This window comes from Homo sapiens, chromosome 3, assembly GCF_000001405.40.
Source record: "Homo sapiens chromosome 3, GRCh38.p14 Primary Assembly".
In the NCBI taxonomy this organism is placed as follows: domain Eukaryota; kingdom Metazoa; phylum Chordata; class Mammalia; order Primates; family Hominidae; genus Homo; species Homo sapiens.
Window position 1 is genome coordinate 130,095,859 of NC_000003.12, and position 25,628 is coordinate 130,121,486.

General features: G+C 50.9%; 1 protein-coding gene, 2 long non-coding RNA genes and 1 pseudogene across 5 annotated transcripts in view, besides 6 other annotated features; 2 read left to right on the forward strand and 2 right to left on the reverse strand.

The window, feature by feature from the left end:
- Window positions 1-2,532, forward strand: part of ALG1L2 (ALG1 chitobiosyldiphosphodolichol beta-mannosyltransferase like 2) — a 16,560-nt gene extending 14,028 nt beyond the window's left edge. The window contains exons 6-8 of the mRNA NM_001136152.1: window positions 191-305; window positions 1,317-1,392; window positions 2,365-2,532. Coding sequence (NP_001129624.1) covers window positions 191-305; window positions 1,317-1,392; window positions 2,365-2,397 — 224 coding nt within the window. The 3' untranslated portion in view covers window positions 2,398-2,532. The remainder of the gene's footprint in view (window positions 1-190; window positions 306-1,316; window positions 1,393-2,364) is intronic.
- Window positions 913-1,744: an enhancer, noted in NCBI's record as "H3K4me1 hESC enhancer chr3:129815614-129816445 (GRCh37/hg19 assembly coordinates)". NCBI's record gives its function as "activates a minimal SCP1, AML or CMV promoter by ChIP-STARR-seq in naive H9 embryonic stem cells {active_cell/tissue: H9 hESC(naive)}" and the evidence as "EXISTENCE:reporter gene assay evidence [ECO:0000049][PMID:30033119]".
- Window positions 1,924-15,575, reverse strand: FAM86HP (family with sequence similarity 86 member H, pseudogene; annotated as a pseudogene). Its single transcript, NR_024252.1, has 5 exons — window positions 15,421-15,575; window positions 9,672-9,773; window positions 8,308-8,439; window positions 6,906-7,055; window positions 1,924-3,500 (listed from the first exon to the last, which is right to left on the reverse strand). The product of NR_024252.1 is annotated as a family with sequence similarity 86 member H, pseudogene (transcript).
- Window positions 3,408-4,237: an enhancer, noted in NCBI's record as "H3K4me1 hESC enhancer chr3:129818109-129818938 (GRCh37/hg19 assembly coordinates)". NCBI's record gives its function as "activates a minimal SCP1, AML or CMV promoter by ChIP-STARR-seq in primed H9 embryonic stem cells {active_cell/tissue: H9 hESC(primed)}" and the evidence as "EXISTENCE:reporter gene assay evidence [ECO:0000049][PMID:30033119]".
- Window positions 14,920-15,109: an enhancer, noted in NCBI's record as "active region_20520". NCBI's record gives its function as "activates an Ori minimal core promoter by ATAC-STARR-seq in GM12878 lymphoblastoid cells {active_cell/tissue: GM12878}" and the evidence as "EXISTENCE:reporter gene assay evidence [ECO:0000049][PMID:35858748]".
- Window positions 15,210-15,259: an enhancer, noted in NCBI's record as "active region_20521". NCBI's record gives its function as "activates an Ori minimal core promoter by ATAC-STARR-seq in GM12878 lymphoblastoid cells {active_cell/tissue: GM12878}" and the evidence as "EXISTENCE:reporter gene assay evidence [ECO:0000049][PMID:35858748]".
- A 273-nt stretch (window positions 15,576-15,848) lies between the features above and the next one.
- LINC02021 (long intergenic non-protein coding RNA 2021) lies at window positions 15,849-24,711 on the forward strand. Of its 2 annotated transcripts, none has more exons than NR_146653.1 (3): window positions 15,849-15,954; window positions 16,764-16,886; window positions 23,463-24,711. It is a non-coding gene; the product is annotated as a long intergenic non-protein coding RNA 2021 (long non-coding RNA). The 2 variants fall into 2 exon arrangements; NR_146654.1 differs by lacking the exon at window positions 15,849-15,954 and adding an exon at window positions 20,979-21,234 and having other exon boundaries at window positions 16,692-16,886; window positions 23,199-24,711.
- Window positions 16,260-16,309: a silencer, noted in NCBI's record as "silent region_14731". NCBI's record gives its function as "represses an Ori minimal core promoter by ATAC-STARR-seq in GM12878 lymphoblastoid cells {active_cell/tissue: GM12878}" and the evidence as "EXISTENCE:reporter gene assay evidence [ECO:0000049][PMID:35858748]".
- Window positions 16,380-16,549: a silencer, noted in NCBI's record as "silent region_14732". NCBI's record gives its function as "represses an Ori minimal core promoter by ATAC-STARR-seq in GM12878 lymphoblastoid cells {active_cell/tissue: GM12878}" and the evidence as "EXISTENCE:reporter gene assay evidence [ECO:0000049][PMID:35858748]".
- Window positions 17,502-24,142, reverse strand: LOC124909432 (uncharacterized). Its single transcript, XR_007096083.1, has 3 exons — window positions 23,971-24,142; window positions 23,702-23,831; window positions 17,502-17,775 (listed from the first exon to the last, which is right to left on the reverse strand). It is a non-coding gene; the product is annotated as an uncharacterized LOC124909432 (long non-coding RNA).
- Window positions 24,712-25,628: the final 917 nt, after the last annotated feature.

Sequence of the window (25,628 nt, forward strand, 5' to 3'; positions counted from 1 at the left end):
AACTTACATTTTCAGATGTCCCAGCCAGGCCGTGTGGCTGCTTGGCCAGCTTAAGCCACTTGTGGTTGGGGATGTCGGGGGCCTTATCCAATTTTCACTCCCCTCGGGGGGTGTTGCCTCACTGTGCTGGGAGGATTTGTGTTCCCGGGGCAGAGACCAGCGCTCTGGCCACACCCCTCTTGCCTAGCAGGGTCGGTGGACCTGGATGTCTGTCTGGACACGTCCTCCAGTGGCCTGGACCTGCCCATGAAGGTGGTGGACATGTTCAGGTGCTGTTTGCCTGCGTGTGCCGTGAACTTCAAGTGGTAGGAGCAGAACCCGAATTTTTTCTGGGGATAGCTTCACAGATCCACCGCTGAGGGGGAAGCAGTGCAGAGTGAGCTGCCCACAGTGAGGCCCTGCCCCTCGGTCAGTCCAGCACACACTGGAGGCCACGAGGAGGAGCCCTGCGGTTACTGTGGCTGGGCTGAGCCTCACTGAAGTAGTTGCTTCCATTTAGAGCTCATGTTACATTTAGGTTGGTACAAAAGTAATCACGGTTTTTGCCATTAAAAATGGCAATTACTTTTGCACCAACCCAGTATGAAAAAAAAAAAGCACCTTAAATAACAGAACTTCACTCGGGGCTTTTGCTCCTAGAGTAGAATTGGCGGGAATTGCCTGCAGGCTTACATGGTTTTCTTTGTTTCTTTCTCTCCCACCATGTCCCTTTTGGCCAAGCTCACGTGGTGGGTTTGAATCAGTTAAATGAGTGTCATGCTGTGGCCTCACTCCACCCAGCATAGACGGGTGTTTGGAAGGGTGGAGTTAGAGGAGATTCTAGAAGCAGTAGCCCCAGCAAAAGTTGCGCCCTTGGCCCCTGCTCAGGAGCCGGCCCCTGGATGGGATTCAGGGATGTGAGCCTCTCGTGTGAGCTGAGCTGAGGGAATGTCGGGATCAAATCTGGTGTCCTAGAAAAGTCATCTTTTATGTGCTGAACCAGTCCCCAGGGGGTTGCCTTTACTTGTTCCTTGGCCATGGAATTAAGAAAAACATGCAAAAATAATTCTTCAGTCCTTGAAGAGCATCCAGCACAGAAGGTACAAACCTTCCTTAAGGCTCTCTCCTCAAATCGGTTTGACCATTTTGATGTGCACCCCCCCCAGGCTTTTATACCCTTCAGATGCCAAATCTAAGAACCACCTCCCAGAAGCCACACACCCTGTTCCAACCCCCAGCCTGGCTTGAGCGTGGGGTGGGTGGGAGCCCAGCTGGGCACCCCAGGGGTCTAGTGTCTTCTCCAGGAAACTCTCGGGCTCCTTTTGTTCTCTCTGCAGTTTACATGAGCTGGTGAAACATGAAGAAAACCGCCTGGTCTTTGAGGACTCAGAGGAACTGGCAGCTCAGCTGCAGGTAGCCATGTCTGCCACCACGCCAGGGTGGACAGGGTTCTGGAGACTGGCACCGAGCCATGCTCCCTGATCCCTGTTTCACACAGCCAGGGTGGGACCATGCGGGGTCTGGCGGAAAAGCTAGGGAGGGAGCAGAAGTCACAGAGGCTGGCCTACTCTGCTGTCCCATTTCGGTACAGTAGGCTCGGTAAAGTTAGGACACAACCCCACCTGCCCTCTAGATTTATGGAGCTGAGACTCCACAAATGATGCTGGAGCCGGGTGGGCCAGGCTGCAGTTTAGGAAGTGATCAGGATCAGGTAGTGCGTGGGCTAAGGGAACTTCTGGGACCAGCCTTGAAAGATGGGTGGAATTCTGCAAAGGTTACTTGTTTCTTATTGCAAAAAGTAATACATCATTCTTGTCAACAGAATGATTGGGAGGATTTTCAGTAAAGGTCCAGGTCAGAAGTCATTTAGACTGGGTCCCCCAGTCTCTGTCAGAACCATGGTACTCTGTTGTGGTGTGAAAGTAGCCACAGATCATCTGTAGATTAAGGGGTGTGGCTTTGTTCCAATAAAGCTTTATTTACAAACACAGGCTGTGGGCTGGATTTGGCCTGCAGGCTGTAGTTTGTGATCCTTGATTCAGACAGTTTAGCAAGGCTGAAAAGAACACCCCCTTGTTACCCACAGATGGGTGGGACTGTGTTGGCCAGAGGCCGAGAGGAGGGTGCTCACAGGGGAACGTACATCATGTAGAGGCCGGAAGGTGCTCCAGGGCACCAAGTGTGGGAAAGTGGGACATACGGGGAAGTTTCCAGAAAGCATGTCAAGATGGAGGCGGAGCGCTGCTGGGGTGTGAAGGGTCTCAAGTCCAAGTGAGGGAGCTAGGGACTTGGGAGGGGTTGTTGTTGGGTCGGGGAGCTGGGGTCATCCAGGTGGTGACCTGGGATGGGGTGGGGACAGGCAATGAGGTAAGCTCTGCTCTTCAGTATTTTGCAGATGCTTTTCTCAAACTTTCCTGATCCTGAAGGCAAGCTAAACCAGTTCCGGAAGAACCTGCGGGAGTCGCAGCAGCTCTGATGGGATGAGAGCTGGGTGCAGACTGTGCTCCCTTTGGTTATGGACACATAACTCCTGGGCCAGAGGCTAAAACCCCAGGGCCCCTGCTGTCCTTCCCGCAGCTTCTTCTTGGAGTCTCAGGGCAAACCCTTTCAAGCAGCGCCTCCCAGTGGCCAGAAGCTGAAATGACGGCAGTGGTGCCACCTGGTGAATGACCCGGGAAGCTGTGGTTGGCCCTGATTTCTTCTTTGGAGTCTCAGAAATGCTTCCTGTCTTCTTCTGTTCTTCACGCCCCATGTCCCTGCTAGCGTATTACTGTTCTGTGACTTCCCTGTGACCTCTGCAGTACTCCTCATCCTGCATTTGGTCTCCAGGTGTCACCTTTCTGCCATGTTCCTAACACTTTGATTCCTGTCTTGAGAAAAGCACCTGCTGCACCACAAGCCCAGGGATGTGGCAGCTGCAGCGGGCTTGGCTTTGTGAGGAACCGAGTGTGTCCAGGGATGTGGCAGCTGCCGCGGGCTTGGCTTTGTGAGGAACCGAATGTGTCCAGGGATGTGGCAGCTGCAGCGAGCTTGGCTTTGTGAGGAACCGAGTGTGTCCAGGGATGTGGCAGCTGCAGCGGGCTTGGCTTTGTGAGGAACCGAGTGTGTCCACGTTGGGGGAACGTCATACTTGATACACACGTTTTTATTTGCACAAAGAAAATGCTATTTTTGGAGCCAGAATTTTCATGTCTGATTTATGGTGATTTTCTTAAGAACCAGAACTGCTGGCAGAAAGGGGGCACCCACATGCTTAGATAGCCGATGTCTTATTAGAGGGCAGATTGTGGTTCCTGATTTGGAATTTAACATTCTCCAAACATTCCAGTCCAATGAAAGTTTTATCCGCTTTCCCATATAAAAATTCTTCCCACGAGAGTGATTTGATTCTAACAATCCCGTTGGAGTCGTGTATGAGTCCTACAGTGTGAGGTTCAGCATTGCCATCTCCAAGTGCTCTCCATAGGGAAACAGTTTCTGGTCATGATGAGCTTCCGCTTCCCATCTGATCCCAGCCCAGCCTGGAAACAGAGCACGTGTTTGAGGATGGCGGTGTTTGGGGACAGGACATGAGCGTATTGTGTGGGGCTGCTAGGACAGGCCTGGCGGGGTGGGGAGTGTCTAAGTCAGTTTACTTGGTTCACAGGTTCCCAGGCCCACCCAAGTACCTAGAATTGGCCTCCAGGAAGGGACCAGAAATCTGGTTTTACATAGAAATGGCTAGCAGCAGGCACCATGCAGCTGTCCACTCTCTGCCCGAGTCTGCCCCAGCACGTGGCACAGCAGGACAGAAGCAGAGATCTGAACCCACATCTACCTGGCTGTTCCATCAACCCACTCTTCACAAAGCTTAGAAAGTGGCCGGGCACAGTGTCTCATGCCTGTAATCCCAACACTTTGGGAGGCCAACGCCGGTGGATCACTTGAGGTCAGGTGTTCGAGACCAGCCTGGCCAACATGGTGAAACCCCATCTCTACAAAAATACAAAAATTAGCCAGGCACGATGGTGGGTGCCTGTAATCCCAGCTACTTGGGAGGCTGAGGCGGGAGAATTGCTTGAACCCAGGATGCGGAGGTTGCAGTGAGCCGAGATTGTGCCACTGCACTCCAGCCTGAGTGATAGAGTGAGACTCCATCTCAAAACACACACACACACACACACACACACACACACACACACACACACACACACACGCTTAGAAGGGGCTGGTGTTCTCATAAGCACAGATGTCTGAAGAGCCATTAGCCAGAATGATTCTTTTTTTTTTTTTTTTTTTTGAGATACGATCTTGTTCTGTCACCCAGGCTGGAGTGCAGTGGCACAGTCATTGCTCACCACAGCCTCGACTCCTGGGCTCTAGCAATCCTCCGACTTCCTGAGTAGCTGGGATGACAGGTGCATGCCACCATGCCAGTATTTTTTTTATTTTGTAGAGATGGGGTCCTGAACGCATGGCCTTAAGTGATGCTCCTGCCTCAGCCTCTTTTATTATTATTTTTTAGATGGAGTTTTACTCTGTTCCCCAGGCTGGAGTGCAGTGGCGCCATCTCAGTTCACTGCAATGTCTCCCAGATTCAAGTGATTCTCCTACCTCAGCCTCCCGAGTAGCTGGGATTATAGGCGTGCACCACCACGCCTGGCTAATTTTTGTGTTTTCAGTAGAGATGGGGTTTCACCGTGTTGGCCAGGCTGGTCTTGAACTTTTGACCTCAGGTGATCTGCTCACCTCAGCCTCCCAAAGCCTCAGCCTCTTACAGTGTTGGGATTACAGGCATGAGACACTGTGACCCGGGATGATTTTCAATCACGGTTTTTTGTTACGAGTGGAAAATGCATATTTATAAAAATGAAGTAGTACAGACATGAACGTGTAGCAATCTCTATAATCCTGCCATCCAAGGATGGCACCTGTTAACGTGCATATCAGGGATGTCCAATCTTTTGGCCTACCTGCGCTACATTGGAAGAAGAAGAATCGCCTTGGGCCACACATAAAATACACTAAAGCTAGCAATAGCTGATGAGCTAAAAGAAAAAAAAATCACAAAAAAACCTCATATTGTTTTAAGAAAGTTTACAGATTTGTGTTGGGCCACAGGTTGGACAAACCTGCTATATACATGTTCTAGGTTTTCCCCTATAGGTATACCTATGTGAAAATGATTATTTTGATACATTTTTTTTTGAGATGAAGTCTTGCTATGTTGCTCAAGGTGGCCACAAAGTCCTGGGCTTAAGCCATCCTCCCGCCTCAGCCTCCTGAGTAGTTGGAATATAGGTACTCATAACCACGTGTGGGTGATTATTATTAGTTTTTAAACAAAAATGGGGCTGGGCGCAGTAGCTCACGCCCGTATTCCTAACACTTTGGGAGGCTGAGGCAGCAGATCACTTGAGGTCAGGAGTTCAAGATCAGCCTGGCCAACATGGAGAAACCTCGAATCTACAAAAAATACAAAAATTAGCCAGGCGTGGTAGCACGCACCTGTAGTCCCAGCTACTCAGGAGGCTGAGATGGGAGGATAGCTTGAACCTGGGAGGTGGGAGGATGCAGTGGGCCGAGATGGCACCACTGCACTCCAGCCTGGGCAATACAAAGCCAGACTCTGTCTCAAAAAAAAAAAAAAAAAAAAAAAAAAAGGTTGGTGGGGGCTTATACTATATGTACTGCTTGGCACTGTTTTTTTTTCACTTAAAAGATATTGCAGGTTTTTTTTCACGTAAGTATCTGAAGAAAGACTTCCTTTTTTTTTTTTTTTTTTGCTTTTTTGCTTTTTTGAGACAGGGTCTTGCTTTGTTGCCCACGCTGGAGTGCAGTGGTGAGATCAGGGCTCACTGCAGCCTCCACCTCGTGGGCTCAAGCCATCCTCCCACCTCAGCTTCCCGAGTAGCTGGGACTACAGGCATGTCCAACCACATCTGGCTAGTTTCTGTATGTTTTGTGAAGATGGGGTCCCACTATGTGGCCCAGGTTGGTCTTGAACACCTGGGGTCAAGTAGTCCTCCTGCCTTAGCCTCCTAAAGTGCTGAGATGACAGGCCTGAGCCCCACGCCTGGCCAGCCTCCTGTGCGAGGTTGTGCGGGACTCTGTCATGGAACCCAGTATGTCTTCGCGTGCTGGCTTGTTTGTTGGCTCTGTAGTTAACGGGCTGCCCCACGTGGACAGGCACTGGGTCGTCCATGTCTCTGTGTGCAGGCAGAGGCTGCTGCGGGTGCATCTTTGCACATGGCTGCCAGGAGGGGCTGTGCTCAGGGGGAGCTGGGGCAGAGTCTGGTGGCAATGGGGGGCTTGGGTGTAGTGTGGAGGCACTAGAGCCAGGTGGCCGGGCTGCAGTCTGCGGGAGCTCGGGGGTCTCTTGGCCTCTGTGTGTCCTAGTGTTTTTGTCGGTGAGATGGGACAATGACAGAACACCCTCACAGGTGCTGGGGGCTGACCAATGTCAGGTCTCAGGACAGTGGCTGGCCCACTACGGGGCCAGTTGCCCTTCTCTATAGTCACCCTGCTCGTCTTCCATCAACTGGGTGCTCAGGACAGTGGCGTGGTGGATCCGCCTGTACAGCCTGTGCTCCAGCATCCTGCAGGCCACAGCTGTGTCCAGCCCTGACCCCGACTGCCCCTCCCACCACCTCCATTTTATAGATGAGGAAACCGAGGCCCAAGGGCTTAGGGAAACCTGCTCTGAGGCACATAGTAGGGCTGCTGGGCTCAGACCCTCCCGCCCTGTGCTGAGCTGCCCTCCTCCTGCCGCAAGCCCCCCACGCCCCAAGCCCACCCTGCTCACCGGCCTCTGCCCGAGTTCCCCGCATGGTGTGGGAGTGTGGGGCATCCTAGCTTTTTGCTGGCACCCAGTTCTTTCACTTCCACTGGAGTCCTGCAGGGACAGCTCGGGGACCATGCAGGCCCGGGTGGGCGTGGGGGCTCACCTAGCTCGGTGGTGAACACCTGGCACGTCTCTGGGTTGCGGACGGTAAAGGCCATGTAGACCTCAGGAGCCCGCTGGTGCTCCCAGCAGGCAGCCAGCCTCCGCAGGACCCCGACCAGGGACACGATGGCTTCTGGGCAATACAGCACGTCTACGGTGAAAGCTTCAGGTTACTGAAAGGGACAAGTGGAAAGTTCCAGTTCATGCTGACCTCAGCAGCAGGGTGAGGCCAGAGAGGCAGCGTTCATATGAGACTATTAGATGCCATTTGACCATTTGGGCCATTAGATGGAAGGGCAATTACTTGGGTGAAAAAGGAGAACCCTTAGTAGAGAAAGCTGCAAAAGACCGAAGCAAAAGAAAAAAATCTCCAGACTCACTGGTGTTCCTTAAAAAACCAGCTCTGGTTCTGGGCCTATCTAGAGGGCTTTGAATGGCAGAAAGCCTGACCCTACCGTGAACTTCGTGTTTCAGGTGTCTGCCGATTGGTCTGCTGGCTTGCAGGGGTGGGCCTCTGTCCCTGGCCACCGCTGGACCTGTGGGTTTCAGGGCTGGGACCCAGGACCACAGGCAGAGCTCTGTTCCACCAGAGAGGGGACTGAGTGTGCTGGCAGGGGTGAGGGGTTTTTGGTGGCCCAGCCAAACACCACCTTCTCCCAAGGGCCCTGTCCTCATCCCAGAAGTGGTTGTTTTCCTCCTGTGGTCTCTGAAGGACACAGGGCATGGCTCTGGAACAGAGCCGTGTGGTGACGACTGTAACGGGAGTATGCCTGTCTCCAACAAGAGGGCTGTGGCTTGAAGGTCACCTTAAGAGGCACCCCTGTCCTTTGATGTCCCCCTGGAGGCCCGGAGTAACTCTTCTGGAAGCCCCATCATGTCCATGCCCGACAGCATCCACTGTTCCCTTTTCCCAGAGCCAAGAGCTGGGTAGAGCTGCAAGGACACCGCCTGCACAGGATGCCCGGGGCTGGGCATTACCTGCTGTAATGACAACATCTGGCTGGAAGGCAGAGAGCTGATGGACCGTCGCTACATCCCAGTCCAGCTGGGCCACTGTCACCCTGGGGCTATCTAAGTTGGCAGTGATGTCTGCCTCTAATGAGAGGCCATTGAGAAGGACATTCCCTCGGAGCTGCTCGAGGACCCGGCTGTGACAGTCGCTGAAGATGTATGTCCGGGGGTGGCACATCTTGCAGATGGACAGGCCTGTAAGGCCGGCGCCACTGCCAAGCTCTAGGACAGTCCTGGCGGGAGGAAAGGGGACCGTGTCTTCGACTGCACCAGGGTAAGCCTGCCTCGGTGCCCTGCCCTGTGCCCCGAGGTCACCTGTTAGTGAAGGCTGCCAGGTTCTCAATGACCCATTCTGCAAGGTAGATGGCGGCTGCCCTGTGCCCCGAGGTCACCTGTTAGTGAAGGCTGCCAGGTTCTTGATGGCCCATTCTGCAAGGTAGCGGGCAGCGTCCCATGTGACCAGGCCTGTGGTACCGTGGGAGATGATGGCTGTGCTCGGAGAGTGTGACCGAGCCTTCCGAGGGCTGTACCAAGAGAGGGTGAGACAGTAAGTCCAGCAATCAGAAAACAAGTGGCTTAGAAGACAAGTAGCCATCCGCCACATGGCTGAATAAACCATGACAGGACCAATCGCCACTCAGCAATGAGAAGCAGCTAACTGTTGACATACCAACAGCTTGCACGGGCCTCAAGGGTGTCACGCGGCATGAAAGACACTCATCTCAGGCCACACAGGATTCCATTCATCGAACATTCCTGAGACAACGGAATTCTGGCGATGGAGCACAGGTCAGTGGTGGCCAGGGGCCAGGTGTGGCTATGAAGGGGTGGCTGCCTTGTGATGATTCAATATGCTATGTTTTTCCTTTGTGGTTTTCTGTATCTATGCTTTATCTTATTTTTTTTTGAGCTCTGTCACCCAGGCTGGAGTCAGTGGCATGATCTTGGCTCACTGCAACCTCTGCCTCCTGGGTTCAAGCAATTCTCCTGCCTCAGCAGCCCAAGTAGCCGTGACTACAGGTGTGTGCCACCATGTCCGGCTAATTTTTGTACTTTTTTTTGAGACAAAGATTCGCTCTCATTGCCAAGGCCGTGGTGCAATAGCGTGATCTCGGCTCACTACAACCTCCACCTCCTGGGTTCAAGAGATTCTCCTGCCTCAGCCTCCTGAGTAGCTGGGATTACAGGCGCCCACTACCACACCCCGCTAATTTTTGTATTTTTAGTAAAGATGGAGTTTCACCATGTTGGCCAAGCTGGTCTCAAACTCCTGACCTCAGGTGATCCCCCCGCCTCAGCCTCCCAAAATGCTGGGATTACAGGCATGAGCCACCACGCCTGGCCTAATTTTTGTATTTTTAGTAGAGATAGGGTTTCACCATATCGGCCAGGCTGGTCTCGAACTCTTGACCTCAGATCCACCCGCCTCGGCCTCCCAAAGTGCTGGGATTACAGGCGTGAGCCACCATGTCCAGCCCTGTCAAATATTCTTTGAGGACTGGGCACCAGGTCCTTGTGAAGCAGGTAGTGTGTGTCACCTATTGGACAAATACCCAACAACCCCACGAGACATGCTGTTGTTGTTGAAGTGCTTGATTTACAGACAGGGAAACTGAGGCTAAAGAAGGTTAACGGACCTCATGTCTAAGACTGCAGAATGGGTGAGTCAGGATTTGAACCCACACCCACGTTTTCACTTTGTCTGTGCAGGAAGGGTATCTGGGCTGTGAGGGGGAGGAGGGTGCCCTTCTCATACCAGCAAATAGCTCCAGTGGCCCTGGGTGGACTCCTTGGCCATCAGGGTCTCTGCCAGCGCCTCGTACAGCTCGTCCAAAAGCTCCGTGTGGACAGCCTCGTGCTGGGGGCAGACAGAGTGAGAGCTTGTTTGCTTTCGTTCTAATCTGTAAAAATGGTCAGATGATTTTCACCAAGTTTGGAGGGGAGATTTGGGATGGAATGGTGTAATACCAGCCAGCTGGCATATAAAATACTCACTTCGTTGGGTGTGGTGGTGTGTGCCGAATAGTCCCAGCTAATCTAGAGGCTGACACGGGAGGACTGCTTGAGCCCAGGAGTTCGAGGACAGCCTGGGCAAGAGACCTTGTCTCTAAAAAAAATTTCACTTGGTAGGGCAACCTGGATGGGAGGGCCTTCAACAAGAGGTGTTGAGAGGTTAGGGTTAGGTGTAGTCTAGGGAAGGAAACAAGGATTCCGTGAGAGCTGCCACGTGACCATGACAGAGAGCTCTGTGTTTGGATCAAACAGAGAGGAGGAAAACAAAAGGTGCTTTTAAGTGAGCCCAGGCAGAACTGTGAGGGCGGCCCATGCTGCAGGCTGTGGCTGTCAGCAGGCTGCTTCTCCACAGCTGGTCCCATCCTAGGATTCACAGGGCAGCAGCAGGGTACACTGGGTGACTGCTGCCCTCTCCTGGTGGCACAGGGCAGACCTGCTGGTGAACACAGATGCACGCTTTTGGGGAGGACTAGGGAGAAAGCAGGTATTGGAGAAGCAGGGGATTGTTTATTTGCTAAAAGTGTGGCCCTTTCACTCAGCAGGTCTGCTACTGCCTACTAAGGAACGGCCTCTCGACATCCTCATGTCAAACCCTGCATGTTTGGGCCCATCTTTAAAATCCATCCTAGGCCAGGTGTGGTGGCTCATGCCTGTAATCCCAGCACTTTGGGAGGCTGAGGCAGGCGGATCACCTGAGGTCAGGAGTTCGAGACCAGCCTGGCCAACATGGTGAAACTCTATCTCTACTAAAAATACAAAAATTAGCCAGGCATGGTGGCGTGTGCCTGTAGTCCCAGCTTCTTAGGCACGAGAGTTGCTTGAACCCAGGAGGTAGAGGTTTCAGTGAGCCGAGATTGTGCCACGGTAATCCAGCCTGGGCACCACAGTGAGACTGTCTCAAAAAACTAAATAAATAAGTAAAAAATAAAATCCATCCTGTATCAGTCAGGAAAGAGCTCATTCCAGCAGGATCAATGCAGAGAATTCACAGAGGAACTAGTTCCAAAGGTATGGCAAGAGCTAAATCTTCCAACAGGGGCCTGTGGGGCAACCCAGAGACAGACAAGAGCAGGAAACTCCAAACCCTTCAGCGGGCAGGACAGAGGGTGTGGATGAGGGTTCCAGTGCTGTGGGCTGGACCAGCCTGGTAGGAATGAGAATTCATATTCTAGGAGCTGGGGCCCCAGAGAAGCAGCTGCTGTGGAAACCCCATGAGGCAGAGTGAGGGAGAGACGCTGGTCTCCCCTTCTTCCTGCCCTGCACTGTCTCCCATGGGTCACACTCAGCTGCAGCCAGTTGCCTGGGGAGGCCCCTGCCATGCTGGTATTGGCAAAGCAGGCCCAGGGCCTGGGAAGGACGGGGGCTCCAGCACGCAGGTGGCTATGCTGTCCAGCTACTGGGCGGACACTGCCCATTGCTGACATTTTTGATGAGTTCTGAGAGAAAGCACTGGGCACACTTGACTGATGGCGGGTGCTTCACACACACAGGATGCTTCACAGTCTACAGCAAAGGACAGAACGTTGGTTGCTCGAGAGCCCGTCTTAAGTCTCCTATGAGCTTCAAGCCAACACAGCAGAGGGCAAACTCCAGGCTACCCGATCCCTCAGCAAAGATGTAGATGGACACGGCGTTCTGGCCCCACGCATCTGAAGTTTGTCTTAAGATATAAGCCGTTTCCTAAAGATGCTTCCACTGCAGTGGCACAGGATATTGCAGCATTTCTAATGCCCATTCTGAGCAGGAACACAGGGCACGTGGGCCTAAACCACCTCCCTCCCAGGGGAGCCAGTGTGAACCAGGGCTTGCAGTAAGGACAGTCGCCAACTGTCTGGCTCTATGGAAGAGGCGGGAAGGCCCACTCGGCAACTGCTCTCTTGGAGTGTGTGTCCCTGGGGACAGGATGGAGGGGAGGGGACGCTCAGGGTGACACTCCAGCTAAAGCCGAGAGAAGCCAAGTGCAGGATGAGCAAGTTCCAGGCAGTGGGAACAGCTGGTGCAAGCTCTGAGGTGGCCACAGGCTGGCACTTGGAAAGGAGGGCAGATGCACTGGTGCAGCAGGAGTGGGGACGGTGGGAAAACAGGAGCCTGGAGGGAGAGGGAGGAGACAGTCCGCAGTGCCTGCTGGCTGGGAGGGATGCAGATTCTGCCCAAGGGCAGCAAAGTACCCCATGCAATACACAGGCTCTTCATGCTGGTGCTGGTTTTTCATTTTTTCTGACACAGTCTCTCTCTGTTGCCCAGGCTGGAGTGCAGTGGCCCGATCTTGGCTAACCGCAGCCTCCGCCTCCTGGGTTCAAGCGATTCTCCTGCCTCAGCCTCCCAAGTAGCTGGGACTATAGGCGTGCACCACCACGCCCAGCTAATTTTTTAAATTTTTAGTAGAGATGGGTTTTTGCCATGTTGGCTAGGCTGGTCTTGAACTCCTGACCTTAGGTGATCCGTCCACCTCAGCCTCCCAATGTCCTGGGATTACAGGTGTGAACCAGTGCACCCAGCCTTGTGCTGGGTTTTAAAGCAGCTCTCCCTACATTTCATGCTTCACCACCTACGAGAGTGAGGCTCAGGGTGAAACTCAGAGCAGGGTGCGAGATAACTTCAGGTATCTCCATGCTCGAAGCCCTGACCTACTGTATTGCCCCGAAAGTCTTCCCTGCTGTGGCTGCATCTTTTCCAAGTGGATCATCTTGGTTCACCTCTAGCACAGGAATTCTTCACTGGGGCTCCTAGGATGGGCTGGGTGGGTGGGGGTGGAGGATGTCTGCCTCCCCTGAGTTTGTATGGAAAATGTATTCTTCTGGTGCACTTCTTTCTGGGAGGGAGTCTATTGCTTTGTCTTTTCTGAAGGGCTCATGGCCCTTCGAAGGTGAAGACCCAGGATGCAGGGTGATCTGCACTTGGCCCTCAAGGCCAAGGTCACGCTGTGGCTGGGCCGGGTGGTGATCCTGGCTGTCACCTGCATGCAGATGCACTTGAGTCCAAACCCCACCCTGGGCAAAGCAAGGGCCCATTTAGGTCTAGAGGAGACAGGAGTGGGCAGGACAGGCCTCAGGAATGCAAAAAAGAAAGTCTCTGAGCATCCACCAAATGCTAGAAGCTGTTTTGCACCTGTCATCTCTGTTTTTGCTGAGGATAGTTTAAAAAACATTCCCTAGATTTCCCCCCTCATGCAGATTTTTGTATATTCTGATGTCTTTGTCTAAGTCTTAGATAGAAAACAAAAGCGCAGGAGCTGTCGGAGGTGCTGACACCTACCTGCAGTGCTGACTCAATGGTTTTGTTCTTTGAACAGGGGTGTTTTTAAAGAACCTGTGGTTCTTCTCTCAGGTCTTCCGGAGAGATTCAGGAGGCAGGGTCATGAGTCCCAGGGACTCTGGAATTCTTACCTTCTGCAAAATATCCCGCAGCAGCTCAGAATCTGATGAGTCTCTTAATTTTGCTTCTAAGCTCCGTGTGGACGGGAGAGAGAGAAATCTCAAGGGCGCATTCACAGGAACATTAAAACACGCAATAGAATGTGTTGGCAAAGCGCTATGTGATCCCTCCCTGGGGACGCGGAGCCAGTTGGAAGTGGAAGCCACAGCGGCTGAAAGCCTGACCTTCAGATGTCGCAGGGTGCACCTGGATGAGTCACAGGAAGAAGGCTGACTCTTGGCCGCATTAGTCCTGGCTACTTAGCGGCCACCCGGGTCATGGGCCAGCTCCCTGGTTGCACTGGTCAGCCAGGAATTACCAGGGCAGCCATGGCACCAAGGTTTGATGGGCTTGCCATCTGAGTTTAAGTGGAAATGCAGAATGTGCCCATACCAGCCTGGGTTACATTGTCCTCTTACAGTGGCAAGTCCAGCAGCAAGCTTTGGCTCCCGAGTTAGGCAGACTGTCTCGGCTGGTATGTGACACACAGCAAGGCACTTCATTGCTTCAGAGCTCCTTCCATGCCATAAAAGGCCCTACAAGACCTGGTCCTAATCCCTCTCTCTGGCCTGTTCTCCCTCACCCCTGGCCCACACTGCTCACTCCACTCCAGCCACACTGGCTGCATTGCTGTTGTTCCTCAACCACAGCTGGCTTGTTTCCACCACAGGGCCTTTGCATATCCTGTTCCCCAAACCCTTCCCATGGCTGGCTGCTTCACCACTCAGGCCCCAGTTCAAATGCCACGTCTTTGGGGAAGGCTTCCCTGATTCCCCGACTTTAGTGACTCTTCTTCCCAGTTGGTCCATTCACCATTCCCCTGTTTTCTTGGCTTTAAAGCCACTCTCATCTGGTCTTTTCTTGTTTATTCATTTATTTGTTTATTCTCTAGCTCTCCCATGCAAGCAGAGCCTCATCTATCATGGGTACTGCTGATCCATGGTGCTTGGCTCACGGAAGGCATTTATTAAACATTTTGAGACTGAATAAAAACACTAGCTAACACCGACATGCATTTGCCATGAGCCAGGCACTGATCCACAGGCTTTTGTACTCAACGCTGACAACAACCCTAAGAGGTAGGTATCATTATATCAACCATTTTATTAATAAGAAAACAACAGCACAGAGAGATGCAGTCACTTGCCCAAGGTCACACAGGGCCAGGGGTTGGGCCAGGATTTGAAGCAGGCAGGCTGTCTCCTGGGTCTGAACTCTCAACTACTACACCCTAATCAAACAATCCCTCTGGTCAAATGTGAGTGATAATAATAGTACCCACCTCGTGGGTGTTGATGGTGAGCCCAAGTTAGCATTCAGCGTGGGCATGTGAACAATTATAGTCAATACTGAATGGAGACCTATGATGCTTTTATGAAGGTTTCTATTTTGGGTTAAAAATGCACAAATTTCTCCTGACCAGAAATGATCTCTGAGTGCTAAATATTTCATGTCAATGGAATAACGCAAATGATTAAGCAACACCCCATAAAATGGGGCAGACCCAGGGAGGAATATATATCCAAACTGACTCATCCCAGTGAGCTCACCGCACATGAATTACAAATGGAGCAGGGTGCATTAAGCCCCTCTGCTGGCAGAAGGGAGGCTGCTGCCTGCCATGCGCCTGTGCTGAGAATGGCAGGTCCCCAGGGAGAGGAGAGGCCACCCCCTTCTCTGTCTCTTCCATCACAGGAGTGAAAGCCTCAGCGCATGAGCTGATTCTGTGCAGTGCTCGACATACAGATGAGAACACTGAGGCCCGAGGGACAGCCTTTGACCTGGTCACCGTGCTCAGGAGGAGGTGGTTACCCGCGGGCCTGAGGGTGCTGACTTTTTAGAATGGGCGAGGGCAGCTGTGTCCCAGTGACCAGAACGATTACTGCCTTTAAAAAGTCATGAAAATGATCGTGAACTGTACCCCACACCGAGCGCGCGTCTGCCCCCCAAGACTGTGGAGACGCCCCCAGCTTCCGCCGCCAGCTCGCGGGGCAGGAGGGGTGAGAGCGACTCTGGCCAGGCCCCAGGGACGGGGACCGGGTCTCGTGGCCCTGACCGGGGAGAGCCCAGGAACTCACGTGGCAGGAGCGCCGGGGGTTTCAGCAGGGAGACCCATCCCGTCTGCCCCTGGACTTCCGCAAGCCCCGCAGGCCTCTCCGCTCGCCCCGCCGCCCACCTGCCAGGGGAAGGAGCGCAGTGTGCGCGCCGCTAGGAAGCGGCGCTCGAAACTCTGCAGCAAGAGTTTGGTACCCGCGTTCTCCTCAGGCGCCATGACGTGGGCGGGGCCGCAGCGTTGCCAGGAGACCGGGCGGAAGCCGGGCCTGGACTGAAAAGGGGGCGGGCCCAGGGTAGTGCGCGGAGGCAGAGAGGTGGCGGGGCCTAGGGGTAGGGTCAGGAGGAGCGTCCTGGGGGCGGGCGCTAGGGCGGGGCCAAGATGAGCTTAGGAGGGTGGGGCCTGGGGTGGGGCCAGGATGAGCGTCATGAGAGCGAGGCCTGGGGTAGGGCCAGAATTAACGTCGTTGGGGCAGGTCCTGGGTAGATTCCAGGTTGGCGGGTCCTGGGGCGGGGCCAGGATAGGGCGATCCTGGAAGCTGGGCTTCGGAAGCGTCCAGGTTGGTGGCGTCCTGGAGGCGGTGCCTTGCGTGAGGGCAGGATAAGAGTCCTGGAGGCGGGCATTAGGGCGGGGATAAACGCCATTGGGTTCAGGAGGCGGGACTCGGAGCAGAGCCCAGGAGACAGGTCCTAGGGCGGGGCTAAGGCCAGACCCAGAGAAGGGCTCAGGAGGCGGGGCCGGGGCGGGGCGTTGACTATGTCTTAGCACATGGCCAGGCGGTGCGCGGACTCTGGGAGGCGGAGCTTAGGACGGGCCCACGTGGGGAGGGGCCCAGGGTCCGGGAGGCGGGGCGGAGTCCAGGCTGCGGGCTGCGCTCAGGAGGCGGGCCCTGGGAGGCGGAGCTTAGGGAGGGGCCGGTGTCGGGAGGGACCCAGGGACTGGGAGGCCGGTCGGGGCTGGGCTCAGGGGCCCAGACCTAGCTGGGCTTGGGGCGGGGCCGAGACGGAGCGAGGGGTCCAGGGTGTGGGAAACGGGGAGGGGTTTGAGGAGGGGATCGGAATGTGGCTCAAGTTCGGGAGGCGTTACCTGCGGAGGGTTTGAGGCAGGTCCAGGAGCGAGCCCACGGTCTGCCGACGCGGGGCCAGGGGCGGGCCCCAGGATCCGGAGCTTCGGGCGGGGCCGAGTCCGGGTTTGGGGCCCGGGAGGCGGGGCCAGTTAGAGCGAGGGTCCCTGGGATCGTCAGGTCAGGCCTTGGGCTAACGTAGGCACTCGCAGTTCCTCCGCCTTCAGGAAGGTCTTTTTAGCAGGGGCCTTACGGGTGCGCGCTTCGGTCCTGGAGGCCTTATCCTAGCCTCCTCTCTCCATCAGCGCCACCCGTCTGGGGCCCAAAAGGAGGGAGCTTTACCTCTGTCCCCCAGCCTTTGGAGTGTCACCAAACAAGCCATTCGTTCACCAAATACTTATTAAGTGCCTGACAACGGAGATGTAACGGTGAGAAAAACTCGGTGTTGTCCAGGCCCTCCAGGGGCTCAGGGGCTCGTGGAAGAAGTGGACATTGAAGTATTTATCACACAAATGAGTGTAAAAGTACAATAGCATATCTGCCACGAAGGTGAGCAGACAGAGCTAGCGGGGCTTGCAGGAGGAGTTTTGATCTTGCGGGGACAGGAAGGAGGAGTTAGCTCCTGCGGGGTGGGATTGGGGGTTGTGGTGATATAGACGTGGGGACAGAGTGGAAAACAACAAAAATATAATTATTTTAGTTCAAAGTTATTGTGTCTTGAGTTGAAAGGCAGGGCAGTTAGCAACACAGTTCAGATTTCAGTACTGTCCCTGAAATCTGAACTGTGTTCAAAGTCTAAAACGTTTACCTTAGCAAATTCCTCATAAAACTCCATTTGGAAGAGTCCCGAGAGCTAATTTGTTAAGTATACTTGCAGAAGGTAGATGAGGAGACAGATTAAATCTTATTACCTCTTTCAGATGAGAGGCACTTGAGCCCTGCTCAGCTATGAGAATAAGAGGGGGAATTAATTCTAATTGAATACACTTGTTCTCTTATAGCTGTTGTTCCCCACCAGAACCAAATGAGCGCAAGATCTGACAAAGAAAAAAAAAGGTTCATCTTTTATTCCCCCATACCCTTTCATTTAAATCAAGAGGATGAGATGTGGTTATTGCTGTGTTTTTAGGCAGAATCAACGGTTTCTGGGTCTGAGATGTTGCATACACCCTCTCAGTCCCTGTAGCCTGAGATGGAGTCACGTGAGAATCCACAGCAAGTCCTAACCAGGGATGGGTCTGGGTGATTAAGGAAGGTTGGCTTCAGAACTGGGCCAGGGGCACTGCTTTGCTTTTGCTGTTTTGATCAGCTCTCTGCCTGCAGGAGACAAGGAAAATCAATGGGAACAGGTTAGTTATACTCAGAAATCCTGGGCTTATTTTATTAACTCACATAATAGCTATTAATTGTCTTTCCTCCAAGGAGCAAAAGGGCATATACGGTCAATGCCATAGTAAATAACACTGTATTATGTTATACTAAAATATTAATCTAGGTTGGTTCAGTCTTTCCTGATTCCATAGATTGGAAACGGATTGAAGAAGGACGCTAGTGGACCACAGAGCTGAGCCATGCACACAGAAGAAATCTTTTTTTCTTTTTTTTTTGGAGATGGAGTTTTGCTCTCTTGTTGCCCAGGCTGGAGTGCAATGGCGCGATCTCGGCTCACTGCAACCTCCACCTCCCAGGTTCAAGCGATTCTCCTGCCTCAGCCTCCTGAGTAGCTGGGATTACAGGCGAGAGCCACTATGCCGGGCCATTTTTGTATTTTTAGTAGAGACGGGGTTTGAACACGTTGGCCAGGCTGGTCTCAAATTCCTGACCTCAGGTGATTCACCCACCTCTGCCTCCCAAATTGCTGGGATTACAGGCGTGAGCCACCACGCCTGGCCAGAAGAAATCTTTATCTTGGTGTGCAGTCTCTGGTGAGGGACAAATGTCATCTCTCTTGGATCTGAATCTGGAAGGATCAAGGCACTGAAGGGATTTTTTTGTTTCAGGCAGTCTCCCTCTGTTGCCAGGCTGGAGTGCAGTGGCCCAATCTCGGCTCACTGCAACCTCTGCCTCCCGGGCTCAAGCAATTCTCCTGCGTCAGCCTCTCGAGTAGCTGGGAGTACAGGCACGCGTCACCACGCCCAGCTAATTTTTGTATTTTTAGTAGAGACTGGGTTTTACCATGTTGGCCAGGATGGTCTCAATCTCTTGACATCATGATCCACCTGCCTTGGCCTCCCAAAGGGCTGGGATTACAGGAGTGAGCCACCATGCCTGGCCTCACTGAAGGGATTTTTTTAATGTCACGTGGCTCTCACAGGTGCGGTGTGTTCAGTTGCAAGTAAAGATTACGAATGATGCTTAAAAACAAACGTAAAATTCCAGGTGATGTTGCTATGGGGAGCAGCATTAGGACAATCTGAGTGGTTTCAGTTGCAAGAGTGTGCGTGTACGTGCAAGAACTACAGTCAAGATTCAACTTCTGGCTTTGAGGGTCTCTTTAATAACAGTAATAGCAACCTAAGTCAGTTTAACAGTATGGAATGGTTGCCTTTTAGAAGTTAAGCTATGGGCATGGAAGTTCAATCAGTACATTGAAGTTTTTCCTTTATCTCTCCTATGGTTAATGGTTTCTGCAGAAAAGGACCAATTAATTTCTTTCTAAAACGTTGCTTCAGGGTGTAGAGTCCTTTATAGGTCATGTGTCAACTTACAGAAAATTTTTATAGTTCAAATATAAATTACGTTCAATGTAGACTTTGTAATAGAATTTAAGGTTAAGTAAAGTTTCCACTTTCCTTAGGCTGTTTGCAGTGCCCAGCAGGCCCCATCATATCGAGATGGAAGTTATGTTAAAGGAGGAGGTTGGCCAGGGTTGGGCAGAATAAGGACTATGGGCAGCTCAGGCTAATGATACAATGATTGAGATGTAGAAAGAGGGCCAGGCATGGGATAACGCCTGTAATCCCAGTGCTTTGGGAGGCCAAGGCAAGAGGATCGCTTGAGGTCAGACCAGCATGGTCAACAGAGTGAGACCTAACCTGTAGAAAAAAAAAAAAACACAAAAAAACAAAAAAATTAGTTGGGCATGATGGTGTGCTCCTGTAGTCTCAGCCACTTGGAAGGCTGAGGTCAGGGGATCCCTTGAGCCCAGGAGTTTGAGGCTGCAGTGAGCTATAATCACATAACTGTACTCCAGCCTGGGTGACAGGGTGAGGCCCTGACTCAAAAAAAAATTGAGTCAGGGAAAAAATTGGAAATCTTAATCCTCGGTACCCAGGAATGTGACCTTATTTGGAAATATGGTCTTTCTAGATGTAATCAAGTAACGATGAGTCATCCTGGATTGGGGGCTGCTGGTGAGGGGGCAGATGCAATGACTGGTGTCCTTATAAAAGAAGAGAATGAGGGCTGGGCATGGTGGCTCATGCCTGTAATCTCAGCACACTTTGGGAGGGTGAGGTGGGGGGATCACTTGAAGTCAGGAGTTCGAGACCAGCCTGGCCAATAATAACAATAAAAAAGCCATTTTAGATTCCAATCCACTGAAAGAAAACTGTCCCTTAGTTAATGTCATGCTTATTGGATCCATGAAGTCTTTGCAAATTTAAACTACAAGGACACTGCTCTCTGTGGTGGTGGAGAGAATACCAAGGATTTAAAGGTCTTTAAGAAAGAGAATGTAGAAATCGTACCCATTGGAAACAGCAAGATGATGATAATCGTACTGACAGTAATAATAAGCTCAAATATATAGAGCTTACTATGTATCATGAATTGTTCTGAATGCTTCATAAATATACGTTCCCTCCTTTACCCTCATGGCAGCCCAGTAAAGGCGCCATTCCCCATTTTACAGCTGGGGAAACTGAGTTACAGAGCTTTTCTGCACTGAGTCATCAGGAGCAAATGCTAGATCAGGTAATTGAACCCAAGCAATCTGGTTCCAGAGCCAAAGAGATGTATTTTTTATGGTATAAAAACATATACATACATTTTTAGGGGAAGGGTGGGGGTAGGATGGGATGAGGATTCTGGGTAATTGCTTGGTAAATGCCAAATACCTTTCTTGTCTGTCCCTCTTTTCAAATGATAAAGTAATGTCAATTGCAGCACTTTTTTTTTTTTTTTGAGACAAGTTCTAGCTGGAGTACAGTGATGCAGTCATAGCCCACTGCAGCCTGAAATTCCTGGGCTCAAGCGATCCACCCACATCAGCTTCCCAAGTAGTTGGGACTACAGGCCCACACTAGTATGCCCAGCTAATTATTTTAATTTTTGTAGAGATGGCAGGTGGCGGTGTGGGGGTGTCTCTCTATGTTGCCCAGGCTGGTCTCGAACTCTTGACCTCAAGTGAACCTCCTGCCTCAGCCCCACAAAGCTCTGGAATTATAGGTGTGAGCCACTGTGGCTGGCTACAACACTATTTATTTATATTTTGGACCAACAGATATTCTAGCATATAAGAAATGTGATGCTCTCTGTACATTGAAGAGTTGGTCTAATATTTGTCCTGGTCGATACAGAAATTGCCTGTTTGCTCCACTCTGGTTGAAGAAACCAGTCTGACTGTCTCTGAGGCTATGGAGCAGTCCATCAAGAATGAAAGCCCTCTGCCAGGCACGTTGGCTCACACCTGTAATACCAGCACTTTGGGAGGCCGAGGCAGGTGGATCACTTGAGGTCAGGAGTTCGACACCAGCATGGCCAACATGGTGAAACCCTGTCTCTACAGAAAATAATACTTTGCAAGGCCTCAGAAACTCTGCTATCCACAGGCAGGTGAGATATTACCTTCCCTACCACCTGGCAGTCATAGTCTATGACACGATTCAGCTTTATGGAAGTGCTTCTCTAAAGAACTTCCCCCAATTTAAGATGATCTTAATTTGCTTACTTGTTTACTGTCCATTTAGCTGCTCTAAAATATGAGCTCCAAATCAGGGGCCATGTCTGGTTGGTTACCCATTTCCTGGGACCTAGAACGGGCCTAGCTCAGAGCAGGTGCTCACTATTGATGGAATGCATGTTGAAAGAATGCGTGAATCTCATCTCCTTTTGTGGGTGAAAAACTCATCCTATTCTCACCCTGATTAACTTCCTTTTTTTTCCAAAATGGAGCCGTGATCTGTCACCCAGCCTGGAGTGCAATGGTGTGATGGCTTGCTGCAACCTCTGCCTTCTGGATTAAAACAATTCTCCTGCCTCAGCCTCCTGGGTAGCTGGGATTACCGGTGCATGCCACCACGCCCGGCTAATGTTTTGTATTTTAAATAGAGACAGGGTTTCACCATGTTGGCCAGGCTGGTCTCGAACTCCTGACCTCGTGATCCACCCACTTTGGCCTCCCAAAGTCCTGGGATTACAGGCATGAGCCACCGTACCCAGCCTGTCTTGATTAACTTAATGGAAATATTTACAGAGATTCTTTCTCTTCTGGGTTCTAGCGTCTTATGTGTAACCTCTGCAGGTAATACATTTTCCTTCCTGATGATAGCATTTCTATGGTTGCTTTAACTTGCAAATCCTCTAATACTTATTTATTCCATTTCTGATTGGCATTAGACATAATTCTCAATTTTTAGTGACAGCACTTTGTTTAACTTACATATAAATCGACTTTGCCTTGAAATGTGACATTGACTAGAAGGATGAAACTTCAAACATTCTGTACAACATAGTTTGACTGGCTAATTTATTATTTAGAAGAAGTTAATATTGCCATTATGAGGGACTTAGGTGGCTCTGAAGAACCAGTTGCATTTCTAATGTTTGCAATGTTAAATCACAGATATTGCCAACATGAAATAGTTTCCATATGCTGTGTTCTCAATACACACCATTTCCAAAGATATCCCAAGCTGTAGTCTTAGGAAACTGTGATTTTTCTTATTTCATCTCATAGGAATTTGGGGAGCTATGGGGGATCTCCATAAAATGAGCTCCAGAAAGACACATGTGTGCACACACACACACTCACACATGAACCACACCACAATTGACTCTGTTTATTTGGGACCCATGATTATCAGAAGTGCTATTTTCAACAAATACTTCTGAGAAATAATCTGAACACTTAATTGGATGCAAAAGAGTGGCTATTTACTATTCTACCCTTTATTTAGCATAATCAGTGTTTCCAGCAGCAAAAGCAATTGGAAAATCGATAGTTTTATTAGGTTCATTATTCTCCCTTAGCGTAGTGTGGCATCAGCATGGCTATTATTCTTAAACTGCCTCTTTAAAACAAGGGCTTGTGCTTCTTCCAGGCAATTCCTAACTCTTGGGTTTTGTAGAGGGTCCAAAACTCTTTAGAACCTATAATTCAAGGAAAGGCTCCACTTTGGTTTTGCATTTTGTCTGGTCTCTTTCGGTGACAGAATTTATATCACAAGGTGCACATATTTTGGGGAGGCTATGGACAGCCCATTGCACTTGTGCTTTGGTAGGAAGTACGTGCCGTTAAGGGGAAGGAGTTAGTTACTGATTCTAGGGAACAATTGGGTAGAAAGAGATGGACTCCCTGTATTTGAAATTCAGAACTCAAGCTTGGCTCTAAGTGTTTCCTTGCTTTGCTGTGCTCCAAGCGAGTCACTGAGCAGAAGGAAGCGAGTTGCCTGAGATTCCTCAAAGCCCGCAGCCCTTTTGGAGGTTACATTGTTATTCTCAGAGCCTTTATGATCTATAATAAAGACCTAGCTTGGACCAATATTAGGATGAGTTATCTTGCTATGAACATTTTTTAGGTAGAAGTTGCTGGTCCCATCTTGCTCACAATCCTCCAAAGTTTGGAAGTTACTTTCCAGGAGACTTAGCTTGCACTGAGAGCTGCCCTCCCACCCTCTCTCCAAATTTCCTCTTGGGAGTAGCCTAACAAGGTGCTGTCACAGACCCTTGCCAGCCACGATGACCCCACCCAGACCATCCCTCTGCTGTTTCACTCTTTGATACTCTCTGGAGCTCTCTGGGGAGGGGTGAGACCTGCTGTCTGCTTTGTACTGTTTGCCCAGGTCTTACAGTCATGGCTGGCTCCTCTCTCTGAGAACTGGGACTCCTGAACTTGGTGAAATACCTCAGCCATCGATCATGTTAAATTATCGGGGACACTCATTAAAAATGTGAGTCTGCTCCAGATGGACTCTCTCTCTTTCTGCCCTGACCGTGAGGGAGACCGTGAGAGAGAGAGACCGTGAGAGAGAGAAACCGTGAGAGAGACCATCAGAGAGAGAAAGAGAGACCGTGCCCTGACCTGCTGGACAGTGGAGATGCTTGTGGGCTGTGAGCAACAGATGCAAGGGCTGCCGGGAATCCCATCTTTCCAGCATCATCTGCCAAGGCACATCAGTTCCTGGGTGTCTTGATGGGTTCTGGCAGCATTACTGTCATTGAAGGAAAACATTTTAGCCATATTAAAGGTGAACTCAGCAATCCCCACACAGCCTGCCTGGAAGGGACGCGGGACAAGGGTAGGTTCTCCCTGTGATGGACAGGAGGCAGGCGACCCTCCCACAGCCCTACCTGGCAATGCAGATGTGTCCCCAAAAGGCACTGGGGGCAGCTGGAGTGCTGTGCCTAGGCGGGCTCACCCGGGCAGCGGTTCGCTCTGATTGCAGTGGTTTCCCACCAGCTCCTTGGAGAGCTGGCAGATGACCCAGCCCCACAGCAGGAGCCGGGAATGGCAGAACGAGATACAACAATTTGATATCCACTTGCCAGATGAGCCGGGTGTCCTCAGTCGCCTGGCTCTGTGCCCAACCTCTTTTTACATAAACACTTATGAATTGAGCCAGGAGGAAAAGCACTCTGATTATGAATTGAGCAGAAGGAAACAAAGTTCTGCAGATAAACACCAATGAAACAAAAAACCACGAATAAGAAAAATGACAGAAAAGGAGAACCTTCCCAGAAGCCTCCTGCCAGTGAACGGTCACCAGAGCAAGAGCATGGAGGCCCTGGGTTTTGAACTGTGAGATAAGGAAGATGATGAAAACCTCCCTAGCAGCCAGGCAAGCACAAGATTCCTGTGAAATCCAGGTCTAAGTGTTTTGACAACAGAAGTAATATTATGTCATAGGTGAGAGCTGTGAGTTGCTGAACCCAAAGTGAGTTCAAATCCGAGCTCTGCCTCCTGCTACCTGTGTGACTTTGAGAAGTTCCAGCACTGCTTTGTGCCTCAGTTTTGTCATCTGTTAAATGGGCGTAATCACAGCTCCTGCCTCAGAGTTGTTGTAAATTAATACATGTAAAGCACTGAAATCAGCCTGGTATATAGTAAGTGTTATGAACGTTATTTTCTTGGAAGGACAGAACTTATTTTCATGGTCTAATCCTGAAAGTCTAAAAAATGTGAGAGAAGAGGAAAGAATCTAGAGTCTCACCATGAGGGGGAAAAGTCAACTTGAAGCAGGACAGGGTCATTGACAATTTCCTGTGATTCCACAGCTGCCTTGTACACTATGGTAGCTCCTAGCCACTCGTTGTTTAGATTTTGTGATTTAGAAATGAATTAAGGCCGGGCATGGTGGCACACCTGTAATCCCAGCATTTTGGGAAGCCAAGTTGGGCAGATCACCTGAGGTCAGGCGTTCAAGATCAGCCTGGCCAACATGGTGAAATCTCGTCTCTACAAAAATACAAAAATTAGCCGGGCATGATGGTGGGTTCTTGTAATCCTGGCTACTCAGGAGGCTGAAGCAGGAGAATTGCTTGAACCTGGGAGATGGAGGTTGTAGTGAGACGAGATTGCACCACTGCATTCCAGCCTGGAGGAGAGAGTGAGACTCTGTCTCAAAAAAAAATTTAGTTAAGAGAAAATTGAAAATTCAGTTCTTCATTCTCACCAGCCACATTTCAAGGGCTCATCAGCCCATGTGGATGTCTAGCAGCTCCCATGTTGGATAGTGCAGAGTAGAGCAAGTCCGCCATTGCAGAATGTTTGATTGGACCATGACTGAATAGTCTATTGCAGTGGTCCCCAATTTTTTTTAGCACCAAGGACCAGTTTCCATGTATTTGTGGGGGGAAGTTTCAGGATGATTCAAGTGCATTACATTTATTGTGTACTTTGTTTCTATTGTTATTAACATTATAATATATAATGAAATCATTATACAACTCACCATAATGTAGAATCAGTGGGAGCCCTGCGCTTGTTTTCCTGCAGCTAGATAACCCCT